This window comes from Homo sapiens, chromosome 2 (assembly GCF_000001405.40).
Source record: "Homo sapiens chromosome 2, GRCh38.p14 Primary Assembly".
NCBI lineage: Eukaryota > Metazoa > Chordata > Mammalia > Primates > Hominidae > Homo > Homo sapiens.
In genome coordinates, this window is record NC_000002.12 from 43,628,094 (window position 1) to 43,655,069 (window position 26,976).

The following is a 26,976-nucleotide window of genomic DNA, read 5'->3' on the forward strand; positions in this document are numbered from 1 at the left end:
AAAAGTAAGAATTCAGCATAATCCCATATTTTAAGGGAAATAAGTATATGTACAGAAAAAAGACTGAAAGACAACAAAATGTAAAATTGTTTATGAAGACTGCCTGTGGTTTATTTAGGTTATCTTTGTTCTTTCTATCTTTTTATATTTTCCAGTAAAAATGAGTTTATATTGCTGTAGAATCAGGAAACAAAATATTGTGATGCAAATATGGCTATGGGACTCTTAAGAAAAAGGTTTTTATATTGATTTGAGTATATAACAGAGTAACATAGCACTAAAGTTCAAAGTACAAGGCCACCATATGAATTTGATTAAGTAAAGGAAAAGAATTATTGAAAACAAGGATGCAAGTAATTACTTTTTCATTTGGATTGTTTGTTCAAAATGTTGCTGCCAAGTTATCTCACGTTATTTCAGCTAAGCTCAGAGAGACCCCAACCTCCTGAGTTCAGCATGTCATTGGCTGTTCTGTTCCTACACATTGCCCTCTTGCATTTTTTCATTTCCCTGGCTTCAACTGCCTAGTCCTCCTAACCTTAACTCTTGGGATTGACCTGCTGTGTATCTCCTATTTTTCAAAAAAATGCTTTATGCAAGTTTCTAATACCCACCAAATACACTAGTATTGTACTTCATTCGGTACAGTGCAATCAAACACAGGTTGAGTATTCTTTATCTAAAGTGCTTGGGACTGGAGGTGTTGCAGGTTTGGGAATTTTTTGGATTTTGGAATATATGCATATACATAATGAGATATCTTGGGGATGTGACCCAAGTCTAAACATGAAATTCACTTATGTTTCACATATACCTTATACACATAGCCTGAAGGTTAATTTTATACAGTATTTTAATTTAATAAGATATTTAAAATAACTTATGCAATATTTCAAATGCATGAAACAAAGCTGGTTTACACTGGACTATCAGAAAGCAAAGTTGGCTCAATCTCAGTTACCTGTATGGACAATCTGTGGCTGTTTGGCATCACCATCATTCCTGACTCTGATTTTATATGCTACCGACAAGCAATCACTTCCTTATACTTATTTTCACATACTTATTTAATAGGGAAAAAATGCCATGTCACTAACACAGTGAAAAAAATGATGTATTCAGGGTAACTAAGCAGTATAGTAGCCTTACCAGAATACCTGGGTCAGCTGTGAAACAACAGCAACAACAAACGATGGTGGGCTTTCAGCCTCCACCTGCTATGCTGTGTTTGATTAAAAGGTTACTGTACACTGTATTTTATTGTTCTTTAGGTGAGAAGAAACATTAGAACCAGTTTAGGGACCAGGAAGTGGCCCTCTAGTAATGAGGAGACCTTTTGCTGGATGGTTTTTTAAAAAATATTATCCCCAAAGTCATCTACTTTATTGACAATGGTTTTTGTCTGAAAAGTTTCTCTTCGATTTTATAAGCAAACACAATTTTTGTTCTCTTATGAATGCACACTACTCTAGTCCTTTAATAAGCCCATCACAAATTTCCACCATGTCACATGTCACTTGGCACTTATTCTGTAGTGTTAACAATGTCATCTTCATTGTCACCATTGTCACGATCACCTTGATTCAGAACCATATCAGCTATTTCACCATCGGTCAATGAATAAACAACTGAAGCCTCATTATCGATGTTAAAAACTTCTTCAATATCCACTTCTAGCTTACTGCTGGACTCTGAAGGTATATTTTTCACATATGAAAAGAGGTTGGACATCGTATTTTTCTCACTTGACATAGAGAATCTTTCAAAGTCGTCACCTTGTTCATTATTGCCAAACATAGTCACAGGCCAGAGGTTGTGCCAGGCATGAACAACCTGGTCTCTAACCGCTGTGTTCCAACCCCTGGCAACAACATATATGGCATCCTTCATGCTCAATTCCTTTCGAAAATCTTCCACATCCATGCCTCTGTTCACTGCTGCTAGCATACAGTTCAAAAAAGTATTTTTATGTTTACTATTCATTGATCTAAGGACACTCTCTGGTCACATGGCTGAATTAACAAAGTTACATTTGGGAAATGTGGAAACCACATTTAGAAAGTGCATGGCATAAACATTATTTTTGATGAGATTTTTAACTAGAGGATGAGCAGAAGAGTTGTCAAGGAAGAACAAAATCTTGCAGTTGTCATCCAGTCTGGCTTTCCTGAAGCCAGCATGAGCCGCTGGTACAAAATGTTTATGAAACTAATCAGAAAAGATGTCCCTGGCAATCCGTGCCTTTTTGTTAGCATAAAGGACCAGTAAGAAATTCACTCTTTGAAAACAGTGAGGAGTCAAGCTCTTGCCTGTCATGCAAGTTTACACTCATGTAGCCCTGCTGCATTAGCAGATCCCAGCACAGTTATTCTTTCTGTGGCATGCTTAATTCTTTTAGGGTCTGTCTCATCAGCTGTGGTCAGTGTCTGACTGGGGTAGCAACGCCAAAACAGTGATGTTTCATGAGCATTGTAGAATTTTCTGGCATCAGATTTTTTTTTTTTTTTTTGAGACAGGGTCTCACTTTGTTGCCCAGGCTGGAGTGCAGTGGCATGGTCTCTGCTCACTGCAGCCTTGACCTCCAGGGTTCAGGCAATCCTCCCTCTTTGGTCCACTGAGTAGCTGGGATTACAGGCATGTGCCATTATGCCTGGCTAAGTTTTGTATTTTTTTTGTAGAGATGGGGTTTTGCCGTGTTGCCCAGGCTGGTCTCAAACTCCTGGGCTCAAGTGACCCTCCCACCTTGGCCTTCCAAAGTGCTGGGATTACAGGCATGAGCCACCGTGCCCAGCCCTGGCATCAGGTTTTTATCAGTGATGACCTTTGCAAATTCGTCAGTGAACTTCACTGCTTTGTAGATCAGCAGATGCTTCATCACCAAAGATCTTAAAAAATTTAATCCTGTGTCTTTTCTTAAATTTCTGCAACCAGCCTGTTGAATATTCACAGTTCACTTCAATTTTCAGTTCACTGTGATAGATCTTTGCTTGTTTTATGATCAGCATTACCATTAAGTGGCATGTGTTCACTGAATCACTGATGGATTCAGCCTTTCAATATATGATCGAGATCTTAATTTTTAGCTTTATGGAGTGTTTTTTTAAATTTTTCATTAACTTCAGTTCATCACTTTCTAACAGTTCATCCTTCTGTTTCTTCAGAAGGATATAGGTGGTGTTCTGTCCAACACTATACTCTTCTGTGAGATATTTCACACACTCTCGTGCAGTTTTTCCAATGGTTTGAATTTTGGTGCTATAGATCAACAAAAAGGCATCCTCTTTTTCTTATCACTGTTACCCGGGGGTACCTGCAGGCCTTTTTTACATTTGCAACAATAACTTTATACCACAGAGCAGAGAATAAAAAACAAAAACAAAAACAAAACCACCGTGAATATTGCACATAGATCTTGGCTCCATGTGGGGCATTGTGGGAAACCTGCTATTGGAATGTTCAACCTGAACATGTGCCATTTAATTACCCTTTGTGGGTATGTTTGCATGGGGAATCTGTGTGTGCACAGAAAAGTTGTATCATACCTGAAGAGGGCTGGGAGGGTCGTTTTCCTTTGGGGATGCTAAATAAACTGTGTTGTACACCTGCATTTTGTCTGAGACTCATAACATGAGGTCAGTTGTGGAATTTTCCGCTTCTGATGTCACGCTGGCATGCAAAAACTTTCAGATTTTGGAGCACTTAGGATTTTGGATTTTCCATTTAGAGATGCTCAACTTGTATGTCTTCAACCACTCTGCCAAGTTCTGAAATCTCCATAGTATATTCCACAGACAATGATATAATAGAAGAAACTGTAACAGTCACTTCTGATTATGTTGTTTTGGACCTGCTTCCCAATACTTCGATGTCATCTGGTAGAACCGGATATCAGCTGATGCCAAACTTCTTTCCCCTCCAGCTGGGCAAGACGGCTCAATCTCCCTCGTGAATACCACCATCAATCATTCATTCATTCATCCGTTCACTCGTGCTCACAGGCTAGTGCCTCCTGTTGTGACCTTGCCTCACCCTAACCCTAACAATGCAGTAACCAGATCCTTCTGATTAACCAGTTCAAGTCCTGCCTCCCCATTGAGCATTCTGTACTTGTTACCATCCTGTTGACCTCAGCTTTCTCTGGAGTCTTTTGAAGACGCAGTTTCATTTTACAATTATTACACAGCACATAATAATGTTCTTATAGTGTGTCTTTTCTCTAACCGTTAGCATCAGGGGATATCGTGGTCAGTTTTGCTGCGTTGCTTTGTTCCCTTAATTCTGGCATAAGCTGTCTCTATGCACCATATAGAGAGAGAAGGAGGACTGTTAGCTGTCAGCCGTAATAAGATTCTGTACCAGAATGGCTGCCTTTGCCTGGTAGGTACTGACCCCAAGCAAGAAAAATAATCTGTTCACATTTAACACCTTTTTACTGTCTGGATCACTGTTTTCTTGTGTGATTTTCTTTTTCTTTCTTTCTTTTTCTTTTTTTTTTTTTTTTGAGACAGAGTGTGACTCTATCACCCAGGCTGGAGTGCAATGGTGAGATCTCAACTCACTGCAACCTTCACCTCCTAGGTTCAAGTGATTCTCCCTGCCTCAGTCTCCTGAGTAGCTGGGATTACAAGGGCATGCCACCACGCCTGCCTAATTTTTTTTGTATTTTTAGTAGAGATGGGGTTTCACCATGTTGGCCAGGCTGGTCTTGAACTCCTGACCTCGTGATCCGCCCTCCTTGGCCTCCCAAAGTTCTGGGATTACAAGCGTGAGCCACCCTGCCCAGCTTTCCTGTGTGATTTTAATGTCCAGTGTCTTTTTTTCTTTTTTTTAACTTCATGGGTCCTGAACAAACTATTACTGGCTCTCCCTCAGTCTGGTTCAACAATTCTTTTCCTCTTTTCAGTTGCCTTAAAATAAGTGGTGCTCAAAGTACCCACCTCTGTGCTTTTGTTATGCTTCTGTACACACTTGTTTTCTTTTCATGACCTTAGCAATGCCCATTAGTCTCTCACCTTCACCAGTTCTGGCACCACCTATGCTACCCCCAACCAATCTGTGATAGTGGGGGCCCAGCTCACCTGGGGAGGTGAGATTGAAGCAAATCCTGCCTTCGTTGCAGACCCAAAGGACTGAGCAAGCCAGTATGCTCTGGACACTGGGGACACATCAAAGAAACTGTTTTCCTGGTCCACCCCCACTGGGAGGGCCAGGATGCTTGTCTGTCTCCTTGTTTGTAGGGCCTCCTTCATGCCAAGGCTTTTCTGGTCTCCTAGGTTGCAGGTAAACAGCCTGGAGTGCCCAGACCTGTACCCTCCTCAGCTAGAGAGAGCTGTTCCTGCTAGCTCTATTCATTTTTCCAAATCTTCCCCTTGTCTTTGATATCTTTTCCCAGGTGCTGGGGTTTATACTTTCTCCGTGCCAGAAGCCACAAGCTTATTCTAGTGGAGATAGTGTCTCCGCCCTCCTTCTTTCTTTTTGGATTTTATGTGTGGTGGATTAAAGGATCAGATACTTATTCCCTGATATTTACCCAGCTCCGTACCTCTTTTCCCTTCAACCCCTCTGTCCTTGCTCCCAATGTGCCAAATGGCCACATGGCCAGCAATCATTCTACAATTTACAGTAATCTCCCCCTATGCAGAAGTATACGTTGAAATGTACACCCAAATTCAAACCTTCTCCCCAGCTCAGCCTGACTGATTTTCTCTTGGCTCTCTCCTGGATATTTCACTCGCACCTCAAGTTGTGCTCAGTACCTCCAAGCCAGATCTCATTCTTCTTGTTCCCTCTCCTTGCTTCCTTACTTTTGTAAATGGCACCATCATTTCCTGATAATGCAGACACAAAGCCTCCCTTCTAATCCGCCTTCTAATCAGCTGTTAGACCTTGTAGGTTCAATTTCTTGAAAGAAGTTGAGATGTATAAACAGTTCCTGATTTACGGTGGTTTGACTTATGATTTTTGCTAGATACTGGATATACATTAAAGAGCAAAAACAGTTGTTCTACTTTTCTGGCACTTACAGTCTTGTGGGGGGGAAAACAGACAAAATAATCACAAATAAACATAATATCACAATTTAGATTAATGCTTATAAAACAAAGGTGCCTATTGCTACTAACATTTTCTATCCCTGCTACCTAACGTAAAAACACAAAATTCAACATGTTTTTCTTTTTTAAAACATCTTTATTGAGATATAATTCAATAACATCCAGTTTATCCATTTAAATTGCGTATGTCCATGGCTTTTTGTATGTTCAAAGTTGTGTAATCATCACCATAAATGTTTTTATTATCGCAAAAATAAACCTCACTTGTCTTAGCCATCACCCCGATCCTTCCCAGCCCTAAGCAACCACCAATCCACTTATGTCTCTATGGATTTGCCTGTTCTGAACATTTCATGTAAATGGGATCCTACAGTATGTGCCTTTTAAATGACTGGCTTCTTTCATTAAGTATAATGTTTTCAAGGTTTATCAATGTTGTAGCATGTATCAGTACTTTATTTCTTTTTACCACTGAATAATATTCCATTGTACCATGTGTTTTTCTCAGCATAGACAAAGATAGGATGCTGTTCCGCTGTATTCTCCATACCCAGACAAATTCAGTTTGTCATGTTTCTAGAAAAAGGTGACAGTAAGTAAATATTGGCTAAGCCTTACAAGGGTGGCAGCCGTGTTTACAAAGCGGCTTTTCATGAGTGACTTTATTCACTCAGTTCTTTTAGTCTAATTAGTATTTCTGACTCACAAACGGAAGTGATTCTATTTTGGCATTCTTTCTCTCTTTCTCCTGCTTGGTCTCTACTGACTTGCTGTGTTAAATTATGCAAGTTACTGAAACTCTGTTTGTTTAACTCCTGCGTGCTCTATAAAATAAGCCCAGTCCAGTCTGCTTGTTTGCCAAAGCTGTTTGAAGACAATTTTTCATATGATATGCATCATCAGCTCCCACAGAAGGCAAAAGGAATTTGATGTGTGGGGGTAGTCTGGGATCCTGTTCAAAATTAATGCTCATCTGGAAGAAATATGAAAGCCTGATACTTGCTTACTGGACTTTTAGTTGTATTCACTTATTGCTTTTCCTCTGAGAAACTTTGAAAATCTTTATCTCTTTTGTGGTTTTTTCTTTCCTTTTTTTTGAGACAGAGTCTTGCTCTGTCACCCAATCTGGAGTGCAGTGGTGCGATCTCAGCTCACTGCAACTGCTGCCTTCCTGGCTCAAGCGATTCTCCTGTCTCAGCCTCCTGAATAGCTGGGATTACAGGCGTATGCCACCATGTTCAGCTAATTTTTGTATTTTTAGTAGAGATGGGGTTTCGATATGTTGGCCAGGATGGTCTCAAACTCCTGACCTCAAGTCATCTGCCCGCCTTGGTCTCCCAAAATGCTGGGATTACAGGCATGAGCCACTGTGCCCATCCTCTGTGTGTGTGTGTGTGTGTGTGTGTGTGTGTGTGTGTGTGTGTGTGTGTTTTATATAAGATGAGATAAAGTTAAAAAAAAAAAGATTGTAGTAGAAAAAGTTTTTCTGATACTCTCTATTGGCCAACTGTGAACCAAAGAGAATAATCTGTCTGACCTAGCTTTGTGACCTGGGGAACGATTATCCATAACATTCAGAATTCTCTTTATTTTACCCTGAGATTGACCTCTCCAGACCCTAAGTTGGGATGTAAAATTCACCTGGATTTAAATTATCACTAATTTACTTATGCAATATGCTCTGTGCTGAGGAGAATGCAAAAAAAAAAAAAAAACCACAAATCCTTGTTTTCAAAGTGCTCACAGTCTAAAAGAGATGTGAGGAGCTGTGCATAAGGCAGAGGGAGCTAAGCCCCAAGAGAGGCAAAAATCTAGATGTTCAGGGAGCAGAAACCAGAGAAGACCTTTTTTTTTTTTTTTGTCTCAGATGGAGTCTTGCTCTGTAGGCAGGCTAGAGTGCAGTGGTGCTATCTTGGCTCACTGCAACCTCCGCTTCCCAGGTTCAAGCGATTCTCCTGCCTCAGCCTCCCGAGTAGCTGGGACTACAGTCGTGCACCACCACGCCCAGCTAATTTTTGTATTTTTAGTACAGACCAGGTTTCACCATGTTGGCCAGGATGGTCTCGATCTCTTGACCTCGTGATCTGCCCTCCTCGGCCTCCCAAAGTGCTGGAATTACAGGCATGAGCCACTGCGCCCGGCCCAGAGACGACATTTCTGCCAGGTGGAGCGACAGACATAGTTACATGGAGAAGATGATGATGATGATGATGATGATAATGATGATGATTTGAGACAGGATCTCGCCCAGTCGCCCAGGATCCAGTGCAGTGGCATGATCGCGGCTCACTGCAGCCTCCATCTCCTGTGTTTAAGCAATCCTCCAGCCTTAGCCTCCTGAGTAGCTGGGACTACAAGTGAGCGCCACCAAGCCCAGCTAATTTTTTTTTTTTGTGTGTATATATATATATATATATATATATTTTTTTTTTTTTTTTGGTAGAGACAGGGTTTCACCATGTTGCCCAGGCTCGTCTCGAACTCCTGGCCTCAAGTGATCCACCTGCCTCGGTCCCCCAAAGTACTGGGATTACAGGCGTGAGCCACTGCGCCCGGTGAGAAGATTATTCTGAGCTTTTTGAAGTGGAGACAGGAAATAGCATGTAAACGCTCCTAGTGCCACTTCCTTCGGGTGGCGAGGTGCACAGCAGTAGTCTCAGGTGTGTGAAGGGCAGCTGTGAGAAATAAACCTGAAAAGACGGGATGGAGACCTTGAACACTAGACTAGGGAATCTGTTCTTGATAATTTAAGCAAACGGAAGCCAATGAAAGTCTTTGGCACACTGTTCATCAAAACTGCTCTTAAGGAAATTAACCTGGCAGGAAGATGAAGGGTGGATTGGCAAGAGGAGAGACTTCAGACTGGGAGACCAAGGGAGGGTGCTGCAACAGTCCAGGCAGACGGAGTGGAATGAAGGTGACCGGCCGCTGCAGCAAGCTCTGGAGTCTCGCAGTTGGGACGTTAGGGGTACCACTCCAGGACAGAGCTCCCTCCTGGGGCAGGGACTGGGAGGAGCCAAAGTTATAGCCACACCCCCGGTGACGCCCGGTGGTCGGCTGTGGTCTCCCATTGGCTACACCGGCTGCCAGTCCCTGGAGGAGGCGGTGCCCTTCCCCGCCCTCTCCGAGCTCGGCTTGAGGCGGGCGCGGGCTGAGAGTCCGGGGATCCCGGGGGCCAGTCGCGGCCGGGACATCGGGCGCTGCGGCCGGGGACCCGCTGCTGAGATAGACAGGTGAGAAAGCCCGGGGACGAGGGGCCACTCCAGAGTTCCTGCCACCCTGGGATCCCCGCCCCCTTGAGGGCGCCCCGTCCAGGGGGGCTCGCGGGGCCGAGGTTTGGGGCGCCGGGAGGAGCGGGAAGGCGGGGACGAGAGGGACGGAGCGGGCTGACTCGGGATCCGCCGCTGCACCTCCCGCCACAGCCCAGAGTCGGCCCCCAAGTCTGGATGTCGCCGGGAGAGGTGGGCAGGGGGCGGTGGCCGGCGGTCCCTCGCGCCCGTGGGCTCCCGTGACGTTCTGTTTGGAAACACTGGGCCCGGGCTTCTGGCGCGGCGCGAGCGGTCCCGGGGGCGCAGCGGGGCAGCCCAGGGTCCCCGAGCCGAGGGACCCGCGCGGTCAGGGATGCCGCGCTCGCCTTAGGCTTCGGGAGATCCACCAGGATCTCCGGGGCGAAACTTTAAACTCAAAACTTTAAAGAAGCATTTTGTACACCTCGAGTTGCTGGCACGTCAAAGCACCCTAAGGTGACCTACCCGGAAACCACTGTCCCCGAAGTTAGTGGGGCACTTTTTAAAGGACAACACTTTTTACCCGTCGATATTGTTGTGCGTAACGCTGTGGAAATAGAAGTCGAACCACTTACATTGGAAAAGCTCTGGTGGTGGGCTACCTGAGGGTCACTGCTTTCTTTGTGAAAATGCCAGTCTTGGAAGCCTGGCCCGCACAGCGGTGTGTCCCAGAGGAGTATGTAGTGAGGAGCTCGGCTGTTCTGGGCAGGGTCACCGAAGGGCAGGCGTTGCCCAAGTGGGGCTAGGTGGCTAGGTGGTGGTCAGAAGGTTCCTTAAACAAGGCATGCCTCAGTCTCGTCGAGAAAGATCTTTTAACACACACACACACACACACACACACACACACACACACACTCACACACACGATTACCCAGCCCAGTTAAGCTGTCCCTTAAGAGGCAAAAACTAAAGAATATCATAGAGACTAACGCTGCGCTTCATCAGGGTAAGCCTAAGTAGAATAATTCTTTCATTTCTTTTTCTTTCCTTTTTGGGATTTGGAAGAGAAACAGGAAGTCAGAGATTCAGAGAAAAGAGCATTCACTCCACAATTGTAAACAGTTTATCTTATGTCAGTAAATACTTCCAAAAATCACTGGGGGTATTTGGAACTCCAAGACTTTTTCCTGTCCCCTGAAGTGAAGATAGATTATTTTCAAATGCAGAATCTAGACATGATAGATTCCTTTCAAATTCAGAATCTATATGTGGTATTTTCTTTATTTAGCAGTCGGCTATGTTATATAGTTATATATATATTCCCAATGTTATATAGTTCTATAACATTAGTGGTAATGAAAAGGATGGCGGATATTGTTTAAAATTAGAATTTTTAACTACCCAAGATGGTGCACTAATACAACAGTTGCTTTGTACTTGTTAACTAACTGAAATTACAGAATGAAATGAGGGAATCAGGTGTCTGGATCTCAGTGCAGACCATTATCCAACCAATTTGCAGTTCTGATTTATTATGACCCATTAATAGGGAATGTAGATGTTAAATGCCAATTTAATAATATTCTTAAGGCTTTGCTACTTCACTATAAAATATATAATTAGCATAACTAAAGAAATAGGTATGTTTGACTTTGAATTAATTTATTATGTCATCATAGCAAAGTGCGCTAGGTAAGATATATGTATGATACTTTTCATATTTGGGGTTAACAGTTACCTCTCAATTTTTTGAGCTAATTGTGAAATTCTTGGCAGGGATAACCACAAATAATGGTTGATTAAATTTGTAAATGCAGTCCTAGTATACATCCATTTAAACTGCGACTTTTTCTTTAGTCATTTGTAAATATGTGATCTTTTTTATTGAGATCTTAATATAAGTCACAAACTATAAGATTTTTCCTTTTAAAGTATACAGTTCACTGGGTTTTGGTATATTCACAAGGTTGTATAGCCATCACCAATATCTAATTCTAGAATATTTTCATCACCCCAAAAAGAAACCCCCTATCCATTGTAGTCAGTATCTGCTACCTTCTCCTCACAGCCCTTGGCAACCACTAACCTACTTTCTGTCCTTTGGATTTGCCTCTTATGGACATTTCATGTAAATGGACTCATACAATATGTGGCCTTTTGTGTCTGGCATCTTTCACTTAGCATAATGTTTTCAAGGCTCTTCCATGACTATAGCGTGTATTAGTACTGTATTCCTTTTTTATGGCCGAATAATATTCCATTGTATGGATGTACCACTTTTTTTTTTTTTTTTTTTTTTTTGAGACAGAGTCTCACTCTGTCACCCAGGCTGGAGTGCAATGGCAGGATCTCAGCTCACTGCAACTTCTGCCTCCTGGGTTAAAGCAATTCTCCTGTCTCAGCCTCCCTAGTAGCTGGAATTATAGGCCTGCACCACCATGCCTGGCTAATTTTTGTATTTTTAGTAGAGACGGGGTTTTGCCATGTTGGCCAGGCTTGTCTTGAACTCCTGACCTCAGATGATCCACCTGCTTTTGCCCTACAAAGTGCTGGGATTACAGGAGTGAGCCACTGCACCCAGCCAGATCTACTACATTTTATTCATTCATCTGATGGTGGACACAGGCTGTTTCTACTCTTTGGCTATCATGAATAATGTTGCTCTGAACATTTATTTACAAGTTTTGGTGTGGATGTGTATTTCATCCCTTGGCATATGACCCCATCCCTTGGCATATGACCCAGCAACTCCAATGCCAAGTATAAAGTTACCAATACTTTATATTGATATACCAAATATAAAGTTACTCCAATAACTTGGTAACTTTATATTTAAACTTTTTTTTTTTTTTGAGACGGTGTCTCACTCTTGTCACCCAGGCTGGAGTGCAGTGTATGATCATAGCTCACTGCTCAAGTGATCCTCCCACACAGGGCTCCCGAGTAGCTGGGACCACAGGTAAGCTCCCCGACGCTTAGCTGATTTTTAAATTTTTTGATAGAGATGAGGTCTTGCTATGTTGCACAGTCTGGTCTTGAACTCCTGACCTCAGAGATGAATTCTCCAACCTCAGCCTCTCAAACTGTTGGGATTACAGGCGTGAGCCACCATGCTGGCCTGTTTAAACTTTTCAGGAACTGTAAAACTGTTTACAAAGCAGCTGTACCATTTTTACATTCCCACCAACAATGTATGAGGGTTCCCATTTCTCTACATCCTCACCAACACTTGTTGTTAGATGTCTTTTTCATTAGAACATCCTATTTGATGTGAAGTGGAATGTTGTTGTGACTTTGATTTGCATTTTCTCTCATAGCAAATAATGTGCTTATTGGCCATTTGTATATCTTCTTTGGATAAATCTCTATTCAGATACTTTGCCCATTTTTATTTATTTATTTTTAATTTATTATTATTATTGTTTTTAAAGATCGGGGTCTCCCTCTGTCGCCCAGGCTGGAGTGCAGTGGTGTGAACATGGTTCACTGCAGCTTCGACCTCCTGGGCTCAAGTGATCTTCCTGCCTCAACCCCCAAGTAGCTGGGACTACAGGCCTGCACCACCATGCCTGGCTAATTTTTTTTTTTTTTTTTTTTTTAATAAAGACAGGGTTTTGCCACCTTGCCCAGGCTGGTCTCAAACTCATGAGCTCAGGCAGTCTAACCGCCTCGGCCTCCCAGAGTGCTGGGATTATAAGCATGAGCCACCACGTCCAGGCCTTTGCCCATTGTTTAATTGGGTTATCTTTTTTTATCGTTGAGTCCTAAGAGTCCTTTATATATTCTAGACACAAATCCCTGAGATACATGATTTGCAACTATTTTTCCCATTCTGTGGGTTATCTTTGCACTTTCTTGATAGTGTCCTTTGAAGGACAAAAATTTAAAAATTTTTATGAAGTCCAATTTATCTATTTTTTCTTCGATTCCTTGTGCTTTAGGTGTCATATCTAAGAATCTGTTGCCTAATCCAAGGTCATGAAGATTTATACCTCTTTTCTTCTAAGAGTTTAGAGCAAGCGTGTCCAACCTGTGGCCTGCAGGCCACAGGCAGCCCAGGATGGCTTTGAATGTGGCCCAAAACAAATTTGTAAACTTTCTTAAAGCATTATGAGATTTGTTTTGCAATTTTTTTTTTTAGCTCATCAGCTACCTTTAGTGTTAGTGTATTTTATGTGTGGCTCAAGACAATTCTTCTTCTAACGTGGCCCAAGGAAGTCAAAAGATTGGACACCCCTGGTTTAGAGCTTTGGCTGGTACCTGTAAGTTTGTGATCCATTTTGTGTTACTGTGTATATATGGTATGAGGTATGGGTCCACATTCATTCTTTTACATATGGATATCCAGTTGTCCCAGCATCATCTGTTGAAAAGACTATTCTTTCCCCCATTGGATGATCTTATCACTCTTGCCAAAAATCAATGTGAGGCTTTAATTCTGGACTTAACTTTATTCTGTTTATCTATATATCTATCTTTATGCAAGTACCACACTGTGTAATCAAGCTACTGTATAGCTTTGTAGTAAGTTTAGAAATAGTAACATGTGAGTCCTCCAACTTTTCAATTTTATTTTGTCTATTCTTCAGCCCTTGAATTTCCAGGCAAAGTTTGATCAGCTTGTCAATTTCTGCAAAAAATGCAGTTGCAACTTTGATAGAGATTGCATTGTGTGTATATAGCCATTTGCAAGTATTGCCATCTTCACAATATTAAGTCTTCTAATCCATGAATATACAATTTCTTCCATTTATTTAGGTATTTTTAAATTTCTTTCAGTGATGTTTTGTAGTTTTCAGTGCACACATTTTGCACTTCTTTTGTTAAATTCATTCCTAAATATTTTATTAGTTTTGATGCTATTGTAAATGGAATATTTTCTTATTTTCATTTTTGGATTTTTCCTTGCTAGTGTATAGAAAAACAACTGACTTTTGTATGTTGATCTGATTTCCTGAAACCTTGCTAAACTCTATAGTTTAGTATTTTTTTGTGGATTCCTTAGAATTTTCTATGCACATGATCATGTCATCTGTAAGTAGAGATAGTTTTATTTCTTCCTGTCCAATCTAGATGGTTTTTTATTTTATTGTCTTGCCCTGGCTATTATCTCTATTACAGTGTTGAATAGAAGTGGTGAGAAAAGACATCTTTGTCTTGTTCCTGATTTCAGGGAGAAAACTGTCAGTCATTTATCAGTAAGTATGATGTTAGCTGTGGGCTTTAGTAAACGTCCTCTATCAGGATGAGGAAGTTCCTGTCTATTTGTAGTTTCTTGAATATTTTTATCATGAAGGGGTGTTGGATTTTGTTGAATGATTTTTCTGTGTCTATTGAAATGATCATACGGTTTTTGTTCTTTATTCTTTTCACATGGTGCATTACATTGATTGATTTCAATTTGTTGAAAAATATCCACTCTTCATGTTATTTTTAAAACTGTGGACATTTTACTGTAGGACATAGGCAAGTTATTTTACATGTAGAGCAAAAATTAACCAGTATTAACCTATTAACAAATAGGTAAATAGACTCCTCTTATTCCTTAAGCTAGAAGAGTATCCCTACATTTCTGCGGAATGATATGGTAGTTCAAGACGTAAAGATGCCCCTTTCAGGCCTACTTTTTATTTTCTAGTATTGCATCCATATTTTCTTTCCCTGTTCGCTCTAAAGCTAATAAGGAGAAAAATGAAGCAGCCCCAGAACTGTGAACGTGTTTGTGATCGACAAACTGCATTATCTACTCCTAAATCATTGCTAGTAAATGCCAATGTGAATCATTAATCATAAATGCTAATATGGGTAATGGAAAAGGTTATTAACAAGGTTAATCTCCTTAGGAAAAACCTCAGGAAACAATGGGGCAAGGATTCTATGAAAACAAAGAAATGAAAATAAAATGACTTCCAGCTCTACAGTAATATGTTTCCTTTAAATTAAGGCTAGAATTTGGGGACATCTGAAGGCTTTAAGAAGCTGGGGTGCACTTAATAAATGTTGTAGTCTTTTAAGAACGATTCTGCTTATATTTATTTCTAACGTACTGAATATTGTCAGTATTAATGTGAAAATTGATTTAAGTACAAAACAATCTTCATGCTAGGAAAATAATCTTTTAGTGGGTTTTTAGCAGCATAAAGTTTTTAAAAACTGGTGTAGGATTAGGGAGGATTCTATATTACGCTAAATACTGGGAAAATCAATGTGGTTATATTTTTAGAAAACAAAAGAATAGAATAGTATACTTCAACTGCAGTTCCATTCCAGGGCTCTGAGAGTTTTGCTGTCACCGTTCTTCATAACTGAGGCTTTCCATTCCTAATGTAAATTTCATAGCAGGGCAGTTCATAGCAAGGGGAACTCAGAAATACATTATTAGGCTGCTTATTAAAAATAGCCTGATAAAATATTACCAAACATTTAAAACTACTTTTATGTATCTCAGAGCCAGAAACCATCATGCTTCCAAAATCAAGTAACACTTCAAAATTTCAAAACCAATTCCCTTGCATCTTGTCCTCCCCCTTACAGTGCTTCTCCCTGCAATTAATATCCTCCCAAAGGAAAGTTAATATGGAAAACACTAATTCCAGATTTACTTCATATGGCTAACTCCAAATTGCATGTATATGTGCCTTCTCTTACACCAAATAAAAATTATGCAAACTTGTCAGGATCACAACAACTTACCCTTAAATACGCCAAAGGACCTCTGGCTTGAAAGACTTAACCTGGACCTGGCCAAATTGAGAGTGATGATAAGGAATCATTATAGTAAAAATCCAAACCGTGAATTGTAGCAATTGAATCAAACTGTAATACTTCCTTAAATTTCAGAATATGGTAAAATTATGAGCTGATAGATTCAAACAATCTTATCTGTTGGGCACAGCTAAAATAATAACACTCTGTGTTTGTGTGGTGTTGTTATACTGTCTGTTCTACTAGAAATAGCAGTATTTCATTTGTCCCTCACTACATACCCACAAGGAATAATGGTTTGTTGTCAACATGCCCCCTTTTCTGGATTGGCTAAACTGAGACATAGAAAGGTTAAGTAGCACAGTTGGGCTCCATCCAGCCTTAGTCTCCTATTTCCCATTAAGTTCTTTCCATAAGTTCTCACCAGTTCTGGAATTTGTCTTAGAATTTAAAATTTGTACATGGATCTCACTAGACAGTGATTATAATGTGTACATTGGGTAATTTAACAAATTATCCTGAATATTAATTGTGTTGTAGCATTTGAATGTTTTACTTTTTAATTTTTTGTTTATTTATTTAATTTTTTTAGAATATGGCAGAGCTTTCTGAGCCAGAGGGACCAGTAGATTGGAAGGAACGATGTGTAGCTCTGGAGTCCCAACTCATGAAATTTAGAGTTCAAGCAAGCAAGATACGAGAGCTTTTAGCAGAGAAGGTAAGCTTTCTCCCTAAGCTTTGTTATTAAATGTCAGCTATTTAGGGTCTGCTTCATTTATATTAAATAATCTCAGTACTTTGGGGGTTTGATTTAATTTTTGTCAAGTATTTGAAGCTATATTTGGCATATTCTTTTGCCAGTGTTAGGGTAGATTGGACTTTAAGACAAAAAATATTTATTTGCAAATGCTAGTGGCATATGTGAGAACCGTGTATGTTTGGTGAATGTAGAGTTCATTCATTCCAGAGAGAAAGCTATAATTTATTTGATTTTATTAGAGGAGTATGACAGCTTTGATCTACTAAATGTTTACAAAAATCATATTGAAGGGATTATAGAAAAAAATTATCTATTGATAGTAAAATGTGTTTATACCGTATTTGAAAGATGTATCTACTTAGGAATCTGTGTTGACTAAGTATATATTGCTAAATTCTTGCCTGGGCTAGAATTGAGTTTAAAATAATTATATGCTTTTCTAATCATGTAATTAGAATTTCATTTATATTACAGGAATTTTTTGCAAGTATGTGTATAAAACCAATAGATTTGTTCATTTATTCATTCAACAAATATTCTTTGAGGGCTAATTATGTGTTAGACACCGTTCTTAATACTACAGTTACATATATGAACAAGACAACCCATATTCCTATTTCCAGGGAACTTGAATTCTAGACCTCTGCTGTCCCAATGCAGTAGCCACTAGCCACATGTGGATGTTCAACACTTCAGATAAGGCTAGTTCAAATTGAGGTGTGTTGTAAAAGTAGAATAAATACAGGATTTCAAAGTTTTAGCATGAAAGAATGTAAAATATCTCAGCAATAATTTTTATATTGATTATATGTTGAAATGATATTGTGGATATTGGGTTAAATAGGCAATATTAAAATTAATTTTACCCACTTCTTTTTACTTTTTAAACGTGTGTATTAGAAAATTTAAAATCACACCTGTGGCTCATATTATATTTCTATTGGAAAGCACTGTCTGGATGAATGGATGAATGATATTAGTGGTTATTCAGAACTGATCAGAAGAACTTACAGGTGGTTTCTGAAACACTAATCTGCATAATCCTTTTGGGATGGAGATTGGTACATGTATCATATCTCCAAAAAAGGTATTAAATCTTCCTTTCATTGCTAGCCAAGAATCTCTTAGTACAGAATTATTATAATAACATTCAGCAAAACATCATTAAGTCTAAACTTGCATATATATCATCTCAAACTTTTGGGCTTTAACATCTTTTAGGTAGAAGACTAAAGTTATCCTTACTCACTTTGGGTCAAGGATGACTCAGTAATCAATCAGTCAATGAATCCTGAACTTCAATGTGCTTTATTTATTGATATTACATCAAAATTATTAAAATTATAGCTTATAAAATCCCAGTTTGAGTATCTCCAAGTTGGAGAAGTTTTTTCTAACGTAACTTAGTGACTCATCTTTTATCTTTTGCTCTTCTGTCAATGAAAATCATTTTCCATGTTGTACTATGATTTATCCGGTATTTTCCAACAACCCCAACTGCCCCATACAGTGATTTTTGTCAGGATCCACCAATTATGTCCTTATTACTAAACCTCATGGACACTTCCCATTTGTTGCCTAAGCCTCTCAGCAGTTGACACTGTTGACCACAGGATCCCTCTCAAAATTTTCCTGCTTTTCTTGACTTCTGTACTCGTTTGGCTTCCTTATGGACTAAATAGAAGATATTAGCTTATTTGGGTTGCAATTAGTTGACCTTTAAATTCTAAATTTTATGGCAACATTTGTTCTGTTCTTTAGAAAGCATGTTGCAGCAAGTTTCTCAATGAGTGCCCATTTTAAAAATAATAAAAGTGTTGTTATCTCCAGTAATTTCTCTATAAGTAAAATAGCTTTTTTATTATTAATTTTTATGCTATCAGATTAAATGTTTTCTTTGTCAGTGAATGAACATTGATAGGAATGTTATTTCGGAATTGCTGTTCTAGTTGTGGTTTCTTTTTCTTTAATTTTCTTCTTCTTTTTTTTTTTTTGGTCTGTATTTCGTATCTGTGACATAAATTCTTTGGCAGATCTAAGAGATGGAATTATTCTGATGTGTTTTACACATTGGAAAGTAGATAAATGTGCCAAGTTACTCATGGCTTCCCAATAAATATATTCAACACAAAAATATGAATAAGGATTTTCACAATATTTTCTGTTATATTCCATTATGAATATTTTTCTCAGGTTTAAAAATTTCTTTTGGTCTCCATCCATGTTTTAATGAAAATATCTAATATTTATTGATTTATTATGTATAGGATAAGCTCTGTATAGGTATGGTATGATTTATTTAATTCTTATAACAACTTGTGAAGTAATACATTTTATTGTGCTCATTTTATAGATTAGGAAACTGTTGCTTACTATGCCAAGAAATCTTCTAAGTGCTTTAAATATATAAACTTTTAAATCCTTATAACTATCCTATGAGGTAGTTACTAATATTATCCACATTTACAGAAGAGGAAACTTAGGCATAGAAAAGTTATTTAACTTGACTGAGTTCACACTAAAAAGTGAGTAGTGGAGCCAAGATTCAAACCCAGGCATTCTGTCTTTTTAAGCCTGAAGGCTTAGCTATCAGCCTATATGGCCTTTCTAATTTTCACCTTCCTTGCCTTCTCTGATATATCTATCCACTCATCCATTCTGTCCTCTATTCAGCCATGCAACATAAAAATCCACTTCTGCTTGGGGGCAGCTACCTGTGTGTGTATGTATGTATGTAGTAATAACGATTTACCTAACATTATGTATTTTTCAATGCAAACCGTATGGCATTGCTTCTAAGTGCCAACTCGAGTCAAATGTTGCATTCCAGAGACTGGTCTGGTCCTATCCACCTCTTTGGTTTTGTGTTAGCACCAGTCAGCCCCAGGGCTTCTCCCTAATAGTGCTCTATACCTTCCCCCTAAATGGATGCAGGCCCAAGGGTGAAGATTCTTGAGAGAATACTAATTTGGTTCTTTAGCTCTTTGCCCGGAATTGTGGCCAACTTCTCTTTCCTGCAACAGTTCTAGTTCTTAGTTCCATTTTATTAGTTATGGCTATAGGAAGCTGACTCTAGCGGCCAAATATGGTTCCTAAGTCTTTACTGCAACCATCAACTAGTTTAAACCCCACAGTAACCCTATGAGGTGATTGTTATTATCCTCAATCTAGAGAATTAACATTAAGGCTGAGAGTAATTGAGTAGCATGCCCAATATCACACAGCTAACAAAAAGCAGAGCTGCCGTTAGACCGTAGATCTTTCAGACTTGTGATGCAGCTAATAGAGCGTCTGGCACACAGAAGTAACTCGTTATTATTTTCCTGTGTCTTTCTGGTTTTTTTTGTTTGTTTGTTTGTTTGTTTTTTGAGACAGAGTCTTGCTCTGCTGCCCAGGTTGGAGTGCAGTGGCGCCATCTCAGCTCACTGCAACCTCCGCCTCCCAGGTTCAAGCGATTCTTCTGCCTCAGCCTAATGAGTAGCTGGGACTACAGGCACATACCACCACGCCTGGCTAATTTTTGTGTTTTTAGTAGAGACAGTGTTTCACCATATTGGCCAGGATGGTCTCGAACTCCTGACCTTGTGATCCGCCCGCCTTAGCCTCCCAAAGTGCTGGGATTACAGGCGTGAGCTGCTGTGCCCAGCTTTTTTTCCTGTGTCTTTCTGAATGGACACACTGGTTAAGTGAACAGGGGAGGTGACCTAAATGTAATTACATTCGTGTGTGTGTGTGTGTGTGTGTGTGTGTGTGTGTGTGTGTGACGGGGTCCCACTCTGTTGCCCAGGCTGGAGTGCAGTTGCGCAATCTTGGCTCACTGCAACCTCCACCTCCTGGATTCAAGTGATTCTCCCACCTCAGCCTCCCAAGTAGCTGGCATTACAGTCATGGGCCACCACATCTGGCTAATTTTGTATTTTGGGTAGAGACGGGGTTTCACCATGTTGGCCAGGCTGGTCTTGAACTCCTGACCTCAAGTGATCCACCCATCTCAGCCTCCCAAAGTGCTGGGATTACAGGCGTGAGCCACCGTGCCTGGCCTTAAATGTAATTACATATTGATAGCAGATGTATTTCTGAATTTTTAAAGGAAAAATATGTGAGATGATCTAGGTGTTTTTATAATTAGAGATGAATTTCAATTATATATGCCCTATATTTTTGGAGATGAAGTTGGATAATACATGGGATCTTTTAGAAAAGTTGTTTTGCACCTATTTTTTTTCATCACAGTTTCCAAGTAACTTAGAATATTGAAGCTTGTGAAGAAAAAGGCCTTATTGAAGTCTTGGGCAAGTGCTGCTGTAAGTGGGAGAGGTCTTTAGAGGAATTTAAGGAATGGTGTTGGAAATATCCCTAGTATGCCAAATATAAACTCTTCAGGGAAGCTGAGATTTAAGTAGTTTTCCTACTTTACAATATTACTAGTTAGTTTCTGAGTCAGGGAGGGAAAAAGGAAAGTTTCTTTGTCAGTTGAAGTGAAATGTTATTTCCTATGAGTTAGATTTTCGGTGAAAAGGAAAGGGAGAAAAATATGAAGAATTTTCCCTTTGGACATCAGCATTGCTCGCATAACCTCATGCTACCTCTACCTGATGTGGCATTGCCATCTGGAATTTCCTGCCACTTGGCATTTCTTTTGTGAATGTGATCCCCTTGAAGCAGACTTGGATTGCCTCATAGGAATAAGGAGTCCTTGGACAGCATAGTATATGCTTTTACCCAACAATCCAGTACAATATCATGATTAACCTATTTAAATTATACATTCCCTCAGTTACTCTACTGGCTTGCCTAATGTTTCACAGTGTCTAATGGAAATTCTACATATACTAACAATGGGACCGTATAGGCTAATTTAAATGTCACATCTTTGGTTACTGGTTGAAGATATTATTTATTATAACAACATCAAATAATGTTTGGTGGTAGAATCTTTCATGGGGTCTGTGGGGGAAAAGTCAGGAAGAGAGACACGTGGCAGGGAACTGCTGTCCACATCAGTGGGTGTGAAGGTCCTAAAGGATTCCACCTAAATTAACCAATCCATTAAACAAATTTATTTGTATACAATCCCTTTAACAATGAGAGGCTCTGTAAGTATACAGGCTCAGTGGCAAATTTCCCTCTGCCACTTGCTGCTAAGTTCACTTTGGCTACAGAGGGTACTTCTGTAGCAGTAAATTAAGCACTTAGAATTTGCTGCTTCATTTTGTTATTACATAATTGGCCTGTTCATAAAATACTTATTTTTGTCTAAAGCCTGATATGGGACCATAGATCATTTCAGGTTTGTTTTTCTTTCCTTTTTTTTTTTTTTTTTTTTTTCTGAGATGGAGTTTTGCTTTGTTGCCCAGGCTGAAGTGCAGTGGTGCCTTCTGCCCCCTGGGTTCAAGTGATCCTCCTGCCTCAGCCTCCTGAGTAGCTGGGATTACAGGTGTGCACCACCATGCCCAGCTAATTTTTGTATTTTTAGTAGAGATGGGGTTTCACCATGTTGGCCAGGCTGGTCTCAAACTCCTAACCTTAACTGATCTGCCCACCTTGGCCTCCCAAAGTGCTGGGATTACAGACGTGAGCCACTGTACCCGGCCATTTCAGGTTTCTTTTACTGACTTAATATAGATTGGCTATGGAATTGACCCAAGGTTTACATTATAGTCTATATTGTGAAAGTAAAAACTTACATGAATATTGTCTGCATTGCTTTTTTGAGTATTTTGCAAAGTTATTGTCCAGCTTGAATGATTATATTAATAGAAACAAATAATCACTCAAAAGCAAAGCATTACCTTTCTTCTTTTCTTTTTTCTTTTTTTTTTTTTAAGTTGAAGTCTCACTCTGCTGCCCAAGCTGGAGTGCAGTGGTACGATCTCTACTCACTGCAACCTCCACCTCCCGGGTTCAAGCAATTCTCCTGCCTCAGCCTCCCAAGTAGCTGGGACTACAGTCATGCATCACCATGCCTGGCTAATTTTTTGTATTTTTAGTAGAGACGGGGTTTCACTATGTTGGCCAGGCTGGTCTTGAACTCCTGACCTTGTGATCTGCCCACCTTGGGCTCCCAAAGTGCTGGGATTACAGGCATGAGCCACCGCGCCTGGCCAGCATTACCTTTCCTACTACTGTTATATTTAAACTGGTTTTAAAATAATCTAAGTTTTATTGGATATACCTAATGTATATTTACATTAATGCAATGTGAAGTGTTCAGAATTTATAATTTGTAATATAGATTGTGAAAATGTAGTGATTACCCTTTATCAAAGTTTATCCTCACAACATAATTTTTTGGAGTTAAAATCTTTTCATTCATTCATTCATTCATTCATTTATTCATTTTGTTCAGCAAACATTGAGTTTCTGTTATGTGTATTCATTATGCCTGCCTCAACCATTGTTGTATTTTTAGTAGAGATAGGGTTTCACTATCTTGGCCAAGCTGGTCTCGAACTCCTGACCTTGTGATCCACCCGCCTCGGCCTCCCAAAGTGCTGAGATTATAGGCGTGAGCCACCGCGCCCGGCCCTCAAATTTCAAATTTAGCCTCTCTTGGTTATATTTCTATCCCTTTGTTTCTTTCTGTGATAAGTTCCCTGATAACATGTAACTTAGCATTTTTCCTATTATGAATGTTATGCTTTTAAGTTACAGATAAAAGATTCCTAGGCTGAACAAATAGCAAAGGACAGAAATCAAGACAAATGCTTTTCAGCTAAGATTTTTGTGTCTTTTTTTTTGTATTTGGGACTCTGATTTTCATATAGTTCTGTATAACTATACACTGTGTGCGTCTGGCATATAAATTCTATAGCACCTGTGGTTCAACTAAAAGGGCATTAGGGAATCAGAACATGAAGACTGAAATCCCAGCCATGAACAAGGCATATTCACTCTGAACATCAATTTCCTAATCTCTGTAATGGGAATAACAATTCCTGTCTCATAGCATAGCTGTGAAATAATGTATTTGAAAGTTCCTGGTTCCTAAACACTAATTTGAATTTTTAAAAAGTTATCTTCTGTTCCCTGAATTATCTTTCTTTCTTCTAGGATTATTTTCCTGTTTTTATGTTTGTAATTACTTTTCAGGTTGCAAACTTTTCTCAAATGTCTGATGATTTTTAGTGGTCTATTTATATTTAAGAATAGGACACCTGCAAAGTAAACTGACAATTATGTATAAATGGTCAGTTGCTGGTTAGCAGTCAATCTTTTCTTTAGTGTGAGAGGGTGGGAGAGTATCTGCTGGGCGGTGAGGTCATAGATGCCATAGCTGTTGGACTAGTGCACTCCAATTCACTTATTCAATTTTGTAAGAGAATAACTTTTCAATTTTTTAGCAGGAAGTAAATGCTTAGTTGCTAGACATTTGGCAGATGGGTTTAAGAGAGAAGGTTTCAATGAATTAGTTGACTCTAAGGGCCACAGATTTTACATTAATACCTACTGTTTTCAGTCTTTCATGTCACTCCGCCTCTAGGTCTTTACAGGGCTCTGCAGGGCATTTGGCCCTTAGAAGGAGGAGCTCAAGCCTTATTCTCCAAGCCTTATTCTAGGCTATGCTATCCAGAACTCTGCTACACTAAAAATAGGGGAACTAACTGACTGTATGCATATTTAATGGTAAGCTGGCCCTTCACCCCCAACCTCCTTTCTCCCACTTGGCTCCTAAAATGCTAGCAGCCACCCTTTATTCTACAGGAGGAGATAGAAGTCTCTAGGGACTCCATGAGTCCAGGAGGAAAGAAATAGTGATGCTGACATCAGTAGTTCCCCAACAGGGAGCCCAGCCAGAACACCCAAGGTTAGGTTTTCTGGTTAACAAACCCCACATATGTGCCAAAGTTTCTAGTCAGCTTTTTAGTCCTTCACCCTTAAACCTACGTATCACATCATGGATGACCAGACATCTGAAGAAAGCCTCTAACACGAAAGACAGGGCACAATCAGAAAAAACCAGCATTGCCTATGTGGGGAAAAGTAAGCAAAACAAAATGAGCAAAACTCTATCATTTAATATTCTCAGAGAGAAAGGAAAGGATAGTGCATCCATGACACAGGGAATATTCAGAGAATAAATAAGAGCTCTTAGAAAACCAAAAACATGGTAGAAAAAATGGCAAACCTAAGAGCAGGGTTGAAATATAAACTAAGGGAAAGTTCCTGGGATGTAAAGCAAAACATTAAAGAGATGGAAAATAGGAGAGAAAAGATGAGAAATTTAGAGGTCCAGTTCAATATGTCCAAGATCCAAGTAATAGGAAGACTGGAGGGAAGAAAATAAATGAAACAATACAAGAAAGTTTCCTAGAATTGAAGCATACAAGATTCCAAGTTGAATGTGTCTACCAAGAACCTACCATAACAGATTAACATAATTTCCACCTCAAGTTACATCATAATGAACGTTTAGAATATAGAGATCAAAGAAAAGATTCTGCAAGCTTTCAGAGGAAAAAACAGTTCACATACAAAGCATCAGGAATTGAAATGGCTTCAGACCTTTCAAAAGCACCACTAGAAATTAGAGGATAATGAAAAAATGTCTTCAAAATTCTGAAGGAAAATTATATCAAACCCAGAATTCTGCACCGAGGCCAATTATGAATTTTATTTGAAGGTAGAATAAAGATATTTTGAAGACATTCAAGGTCCCATGTAACTTCTCTGAGGACTCTCCAGAAGGAGTGCTTTATTAAAAGGAGGAAGTAAACCAAGAACGAGGAAGGCATGGGATATAGGAAACAAGAGATTCTATATGGGAGAAAGTTGAGGGGTCTCCCCAAGAAGTCAGCTGTGCCCAGGCAGACAGGTGAACCAATTGAGCCTGGCACAGGTCAGTTCTGGGAGTGGCTTAAAAACATGAAATTGGTAGAAAACCAGACGTGAACAAACATTTTGAGAGACAATTTACACAGTGGTGGGAATTTGGAGTTGAATTATTGATTCATTCATGAGAAGCTGAATAAAAGACATTTAACTCTAGGAAAAAAAAGACAGGAAAGGAAAAAGTAAACAGTTCTTTTACATGGTTTTACATGGTTCAGCTCTGAATATCACACATAGTTACAATAATACTATTTCTGAACAATGATTTAACCAAAGGTAAGATATAAACATATTGGGAGAATGGGAGATAGGAAGTGTATTTGTTTGGATGGATGGCAAGGAGAACAGAGAGCTAAATCCTCATTTTTCATTAAGTGAGTGAATAAGAAATCACTAAACTAAAAAAGTCAAAAGAAACAGAAGCATGTTACTTAAAACATGAAGGCAAATATTAAAAGAATTGGCTAAAAGAGTACATTTACTTTTATTAATAAACCTTTTGGAAGTAGTTGACATTTTATGTTATTTATTTATTTATTTATTGAGACGGAGTCTTGCTCTGTTGCCAGGCTGGAGTGCAGTGTTGAGATCTCGGCTCACTGCAACCTCCACCTCCCCGGTTCAAGCGAGTCTCCTGCCTCAGCCTCCTGAGTAGCTGGGACTACAGGTGTGCACCACCACATCCAGCTAATTTTTTTGTATTTTTAGTAGAGATGAGGTTTCACCATGTTGGCCAGGATGGTCTCGATCTCTTGACCTTGTGATCTGCCTGCCTCGGCCTCCCAAAGTGCTGGGATTACAGGCGTGAGCCACTGCGCCCGGCCAGGTGTTGATTTTTATACACTGAATTTCTGTTCTTTAAGTGTAACCACTTAAAACTCTTAACTCCTTAACTTTTTTTTTTTTTTTTTTTAATGGCCAGCATTGGCTGCCACAGTGGCTCATGTCTGTAATCCCAGTGCTTTGGAAGGCCGAGATGGGAGGATTGCTTGAGGCCAAGAGTTCAAGACCAGCTTGGGCAACATAGTAAGACACCCCCCCCCCCCGCATCTCTACCAAAAAATTAAAAAAATAGGCCAGGCGTGGTGGCTCACGCCTGTAATCCCAGCACTTTGGGAGGCTGAGGTGGGCAGATCACTTGAGGTCAGGAGTTCTAGACCAGCCTGGACAACATGGTGAAACCCCATCTCTACTAAAAATACAAAAATTAGTTGGGCACAGTGGCACACGCCAGTAGTCCCAGCTACTCAGGAGGCTGAGGCGGGGGTATTGCTTGAACCTGGGAGATGGAGGTTGCAGTGAGCCAGCCGAGATCATGCCACTGCACTCCAGCATGAGCAACAGAGTGAGACTCCATCTCAAAAAAATTAAAATAAAGAAATCAAAATTAGCCAGGTGT

The 26,976-nt window shown here is 39.8% G+C and overlaps 1 protein-coding gene across 7 annotated transcripts in view, besides 1 other annotated feature; it reads left to right on the forward strand.

Annotated features, from left to right (window-relative positions):
* Positions 9,071-9,400: a silencer, noted in NCBI's record as "silent region_11427". NCBI's record gives its function as "represses an Ori minimal core promoter by ATAC-STARR-seq in GM12878 lymphoblastoid cells {active_cell/tissue: GM12878}" and the evidence as "EXISTENCE:reporter gene assay evidence [ECO:0000049][PMID:35858748]".
* PLEKHH2 (pleckstrin homology, MyTH4 and FERM domain containing H2) overlaps positions 9,167-26,976 on the forward strand; it is a 130,728-nt gene continuing 112,918 nt past the window's right edge. For all 7 annotated transcript variants that reach the window (XR_001738621.2, XR_001738620.2, NM_172069.4 and 4 more), the window contains exons 1-2: positions 9,167-9,286; positions 16,578-16,703. Coding sequence is in view for 5 of the 7 variants with exons in the window: in NM_172069.4 (NP_742066.2) it covers positions 16,581-16,703 (123 nt within the window). In the remaining 2 variants the exon portion in view is untranslated. The remainder of the gene's footprint in view (positions 9,287-16,577; positions 16,704-26,976) is intronic.